Below are 6,863 nucleotides of genomic sequence, written 5' to 3'. Positions count from 1 at the left end.
TATTTTACAACTGGAAATGTTATTGAATTTTTATTTTCCCCAATGATTTTTTTAGATGATTCTCTGAATTTTACTAAGAAACAATCTTACGATTGTAAATAGTGATAATTTTGTGTCTTCCTTTCTAATATACATACTTTTTCCTCCTTTTATCACATTAGGTAGAATATCTAGAAAAAATATTGAAACCATGGCAGTAGAAACAGATTTTATTAAAATATCTCTAATTTCTTATGATCAGACATAAACTTATGTATTGACCGGAGAATATTTTGTCATATTATGGAAATTATTTTTAGTATTTTTTGTTTTGTTTATTTTTTATATATTTAGGGGCTATAAGTACAGATTTTTTACATGTATATATTGTGTAATGGTGAAGTATGGCCTTTTAGTCTATGCATCACCTGAATAATGAAAATTGTACCAAATAGGTAATTCTTCAACCTTCATCCCCAACCCACATTTTTACCTTTTGTAGTCTCCAATGTCTATTTTTCCGCTCTGTATGTTCCTGTGTAGATATTATGTAAATTTATTTATATTCCTAGTTAAGACTTTGGTTTCTTGCTTTTTAAAATTTAGGAACACATGTAGAATTTTAAGTAACTATCTCTTTAATTCTCTTTTTTAAATTGCTTTTCTTGTATCTATTTAAGGTATATTTATGGTAGAAAATATATACATTGCAGAATAATTAAATCAAGCTAATTAACATACACATTACCTCATTTTTTTGTTGTTAGAACATTTAAAATATATTCTCTTAGCAATTTTCAAGTATATAATATGTTGTCATTGACTATAGTAAACATGATGTGCAACTGACATCTTGCACATTAACTTCTTCCTCCCGTCTAACTGAAATTTTGTATTTTTCAACTGACATCTCTTCAATCCCCCTACCTCAGTCTCCGGTAACCACCATTTTACTCTCTCATTCTATGAGTTTGACATTTTTAGATTCCACATATCAGCAAGATCATAAAGTCTCTCAGTGCCTGGCTTATTGCACTTAACATAATGTCCTTGAGATTCATTGATGTCATCCCAAATGACATGATTTCTGTTTTTATGGCTGAATACTATTCCATTACATATATTTATCACATTTTCTTTCATCCATTTATCTGTTTGGGTTTTTTTCCAAGCTCACAAAAACACTTCTTATTTGAGGCAAAAAGAAGTCTTGCTGAAAGGATTAAAATTCCGAGCAGTCAAATCTCAACTGTTAGTTGCACTATTTTGACCTTGTAGATTGTTTTTCTCCTTAGTCATAAAAGGGTATTCAGATTGTACTTTCCCCAGCTGGGCAAAAATGGGGGCAAAGAAAACTGGAAGAAACTTCTACTCTATGGGTATTGCTCTTCAGACACAACATCAAGCCAGGCAAGCCCTCGCTGGTCAATCTATAGATGGCTGTCTCACCACTGAGTGTCACAGGCCACATTATATTGGCAAGAATAAAATGAGGCAGGAAAAACAGATGTAGTTCACTTGGAGATGAGCAGGCATCCACAGCTTCAAAATTCTTCCTAGAAGGGGTAATCCTTGTGCGAGGTACAGCTTACCAAGGCACAGTTTCTGTTGTAGCTAGGTAAGGTGGTCATATCCTTGCTGCTTAGTTCAAAGTAAAAGGCCTTAAAGTTCTCTGCAATGCATTTTTGTGTCACAGACTTGGGATTCACCACCAAGTTTCTCTGAATGGGAAATCAAATCAGAACCTGAGCTGTAGTTTTATTATGTTTGACTGTGATCACCTTGCTTCTGGCATCCTCCAGGACAGAAGAATCCTTGAGCTTTGCCCAGGGCCTGTCCAGACAGTCAAGGGGGCTATAGGCAGTCACCATGATGCCTTTGGACTGGCAGTACTGGATTAACTTCTTTTGAGTTAGGTATGTGCAGAACTCAATCTCTTTAACCATTGGCTGATACTTTAAGCCACGTTTGTTTAAGATCCTCCTGACATGAGAATAGTTGAACTTGGAGATGCCAATAGCTTTCACCAACCCTTCATCCACCAGCTCTTTCATGGCTGCTCATGTGTCCACAATGCTGGTGTCATTGGGATATACAATGGCTGAATCATCCAGTGGGAAAAATTTCTTCCCTGGCTTAAAGCCAGTTGTCCAGTGAATAAGGTAGATGTCTAGGTAGTCCAGATTCAAGTAACTGAGCATCTTCTGGCAGGTTTTTTTCAGCAGACCCTTCTTAAGACATGTGCACCACAGATTGCTGATGATGAAGAGCTACTTGCACTTTACTGCCTGCTCCCTGAGCTTCTCCTAAATGGCCACCCCTGACTCATTCTCATTCTGGTACACGTGGGCACAATCTATGTGGCAGTACCCAATGTTAATCACCACATTTACAGACTCGGTCACCAGGTCTGGAGGAGACTTCCAGGTACCTGGCCCCAGGATGGACATCTTGGCACTGTTGTTGAGCAAAAGATGGTTGATCATGGCTGCTGTACTCCTAGATCCCCACCCAGAACCATGTACATTTATCTGTTGATAAATACTTAGGTTGATTCCATATCTTGGCTACTGTGAATAATGCTGCATTTATCATGGGAGTGCAGTTATCCTTTTGCAATTCTGATTTCTTTTTGATATATACACAGTAATAGGGTTGCTGGATCATATAGTAGTTCTATTACTAATTTTTTGAGGAACTTTCATTCTCTTTTCTATAATGGCTGTACTAATTTACATTTCTACCAACAATGCACCATGATTCCTTTTTCCCCATGTTCTCACCAATATGTGTTATCTTTCAGCTTTTTTAAAATAGTCATTTTAATAGGCAAGAAATTTTCATTATGGTTTTGATTTGTTTTTTCCTGATGATTAGCCATGTTAAGAATTTGCTGATATACCTGTTGAGCATTTGTCTTATTTTAAGAAATGTCTATTCAGGTTCTTTTCCCATTTTTAATCAGATTGCTTTATTACTTTTGAGTTCCTTATGTATTTCAAATGTTATTAGCCCTATATCAAATGTGTAGTTTGCAAATATATTCTCTCATTCAGTACATTGTCTCCTTATCCTGTTCATTGTTTTCTTCTGTGCAGAAGCTTTTTAGTTTGATGTAATCCCATTTGTCTCTTTTTACTTTTGTTGCCTGTGCTTTCAGAGTCACATCCAAAAAATCATTGCCCAGACCAATTTCATAGAGGTTTTTTCCCCCTTTCTAAAAAACAACTTTTATTTTTGGTTCAGGGGTATATGTGAATATTTGTTATATAGGTAACCTTGTGTCATGGGGGTCTGTTGTACAGATTATTTCATCACTAAGGAATTAAGCCCAGTAACCAATAGTTATCTTTTCTGCTCCACTTCCTCCTCACACCCTCCACCCTCAAGTAGATCCCAGTGTGTTGTTCCCTTCATTGTATTCATGAGTTCTCTTCATTTAGCTCCCACTTATAAGAGATAATGTGTGGTATTTGGTTTTCTGTTCCTGTGTTAGTTTGCTGAGGATAATAGCCTGTGGCTCCATCCATGCTCCTGCAAAAGACATGATGTCATTCTTTTTATGACTGCATAGTATTCCATGGTGTGTCTGTATCACGAACTCTGTCATTGATGGCCATTTAGATTGATTCCACTTTTTGCTATTGTGAATAGTGTTGCAATGAACATTCACAAGATTGTGTGTGTGTGGTAAAATGATTTATATTCCTCTGGGTATATACCCAATAATGGGATTGCTGGGTTGAATGGTGGTTCTGTTTTTAGCTCTTTGAGGAATCACTGTACTGCTTTCCACAATGGTTAAACTAATTTACACTCCCATCAACAGTGTATAAGTGTTTTCTTTGCAACCTTGAACTAGCTCTTTGATTCCATAAAGACACTAATTTTCAAGGATGCTCTCCCCCTTCTTTTTATAATTATCAAAGATAATTGCATATGTTATTGCATATTCTAGGGTATTGATGTCAAAAATCAAAGAGCTTGAGGAGAAGAAGAAGTACTTCAGTTGAAAATAATTTATTATTTTATTAAAAGTGGCTACTGGAGTTCAGCATTATGACAGCCTGTAGGATGAGATTATAGCAGATGTCAGACTCTTATAGTATGAAATATCTAGTCAATTTTGACCAAATATTATCAAAAATTAGATTATTTCAGAGAAAAATCATTCTAACAACATGTTTATTTTACACCATGCAGACAAAATAAATGGGATTTTGATTTTATATGAAAATAGGAAGTCACTAGTTGATTTTCTCTGCAAATTAATTAATCTCTCTTTTTCTTGACCTGAAATCTTTATTTTCCTTTAAGAAATGCTCTCTTCCTCCTCCTCCCACCTCTGTTCATATGATTTTTTTTAACTTTTGATTTACATATGTTATTGGGGGAATGGGTAGTGGTTGGTTACATGAGTAAGTTTTTTAGTGGTAATTTGTGGAATTTCGGTGCAGCCATCACTTGAGCAGTATACACTGCACACAATTTGTACTCTTTTATCCCTCATTCCTGCCGAGATCAGCTCGGTCATGGAGAGCCTAACCCAGTGGTGCTAGAGGAATTAAAGACACACACACGGAAGTATGGAATATGGAGTGGGAAATCAGGTGACTGACAGCCTTCGGGGCTGACAGCCTTCAGAGCTGAGAGCCACGAACAGAGTTTTACCCACATATTTATTGATAGCAAGCCAGTGATAAGCATTGTTTCTATAGATTATAGATTAACTAAAATGGGAAACAAAGGGATGGGCTGAAACAAAGGGATGGGCTCTGGCTAGTTATCAGCAGCAGGAACATGTCCTTAAGGCACAGATTGCTCGTGCTATTGTTTGTGGCTTAGGAACACCTTAAGCAATTTTCTGCCCTGAGTGGGCCAGGTGTTCCTTGCCCTCATTCCAGTAAACCCACAACCTTCAGCAAGGGCGTCATGGCCATCATGAACATGTCACAGTGCTGCAGAGATTTTGTTTGTGGCCAGTTTTGGGGCCTCTTACCAACATATTCCCCCTTTTTGTTTTTGCAAGACATTAAAAGCAAAGGTGGTTTTATCACAGTGAGCTACTTCTCGCAGGAGTTGGGATCCACAACTGCAGACTATACAAAGACGAACAACACAGATTAAAAGCACAATCATCATTGAAGTCACACAGCTTCCACGTGTTTTTATCTAGTTTAATGGGTTACTAGCTGCTAATCTGTCTGCAGCTCCTTCAAGCGCTCCAGTTCCTGGCATTAAGGTCAGTGTGCCTGGGATGCTTTAAATATTTGTTCTTTTAATTTTGCAATATCCAAAGACAAGTTTGTAGAGTGTCCTTCTAGATCCTTTTTCATTCTTTCCCAAATTTTGATCTTATTAAGAGCCATTAATAGTAGCCACAAATCCTTATGTTTAGCTCCTACAGCAGGCCATACCATTTGAGGTTGAGGTGCCACTATACCACTATGTTTCCAGATAATAGGAACTCTTGCCATACTTCTTACCATTTCTACCATCTGACCATTTTGGTCAGACCAGCTGAACATACTGTGGCCATGGCACACAGACTGAGAGGTGCAATTCAAGCTAAACATCCCCTTAGGGGACCAACTAATAATGATTCCACAGGAATCATTATGCAGCACCTCTGCCTGTTCTGCAATGCAATCTTCCCAAACAAGTACGTTCATTATTTCTGGTCAGGTCCAATTCTGTTTACAAATAGGTTTTTGAGGGTGGTATGCCTCAATTATAGGAGTAGATTTATTATGGTAAATACTGAGATCAGAAAGCATGTGTAATTGTGTCATAGAGTGATTACATCCAGGCATTATTGCCAGTCAAGATTGATAGCGAGGAGTATGCAACTAGTGGCCTTTCCCAAACAGATAGGTGGATGTTCAAATCCTAAAGAAATATTCATAATGGTTCTTTCCTCATGTAGGTGAGATGGGCCTCTATCATCTGTAGGACCAAGCATTCAAGAGCTATCATTAGTGTATACCTCCACTGGGGGGTCCAGCCAAGTTACAGGCCATAGAAGTGGTGGAAAAGGTAAATATGCCCAATAGGTATAATTGTTCTCTGTGTCAGCCATTGCTAAAGGAATACTCACAGCAATGGTGATCACCGCTATCATAGCTATCATTAAATTACTCATTGTGACTGGTTGCCCCACTTTCCTCGGGTTTTCTTCTGCTATCTGTGACAGCTTCTTGATCTGTCGCCAGGTAGGTGGCTGTGTTCGAAGGGTGTTGCTTGTGACACTTGGGGTCCTCCTCAGCATCAGTCTCAACATGGCTGCAACCAGGGGGTCCTCAGGATCCTCCTGGAATCTCTTCCTAGGTATCTGGATCATCATAAGGTTTCAGGTGTCTTGATGGTATTCAAATCGGCTGCTGGTTCTGGCCTGGAGGAACACAAGCATAACCTCTACCCCAAGTTATTATTTTACCTATTTCCCAACTTTTTATCGGATCTCTCCACCAAACCAGTTGTTCTGCTTCTGTCTTTGCAGCTGGTTTCTGTAGATGCTGTTCAGCTGCTGATAGCATCTGGCCTTTAGGCAGGCTCAAAAAATTTAAATTCAATAATGCTAGATTCAATTGCATATGGGGTGTCCTGTAGTCCCTGTTTCCCCCTTTTTGCTTTTGCAACTGCTGTTTCAGTGAGAGATTCATTCTTTCCACAATGGTTTGTCCTTGAAAATTATATGGGATACCAGTAATGTGTTTAATATTCCATATAGAGAACAATGTAGCTAGAGCTTGGCTAGTATAGCCTGGGGCATTGTCCATTTTGATAGAAGCTGGAATGTCCAACACTGCAAAACACTGCAAAAGGTGATGTTTAACACAGGCAGAAGACTCTCCTGATTGGCATGTAGCCCAGACAGAGTGAGA

General features: G+C 38.3%; 1 pseudogene; it reads right to left on the bottom strand.

Moving 5' to 3' along the window:
• Nucleotides 1-1,325: 1,325 nt before the first annotated feature.
• AKR1B1P8 (aldo-keto reductase family 1 member B1 pseudogene 8) lies at nt 1,326-2,497 on the bottom strand (annotated as a pseudogene).

Source organism: Homo sapiens, chromosome X (genome assembly GCF_000001405.40).
Source record: "Homo sapiens chromosome X, GRCh38.p14 Primary Assembly".
NCBI lineage: Eukaryota > Metazoa > Chordata > Mammalia > Primates > Hominidae > Homo > Homo sapiens.
This window is presented reverse-complemented; position numbering and strand designations above follow the sequence as displayed.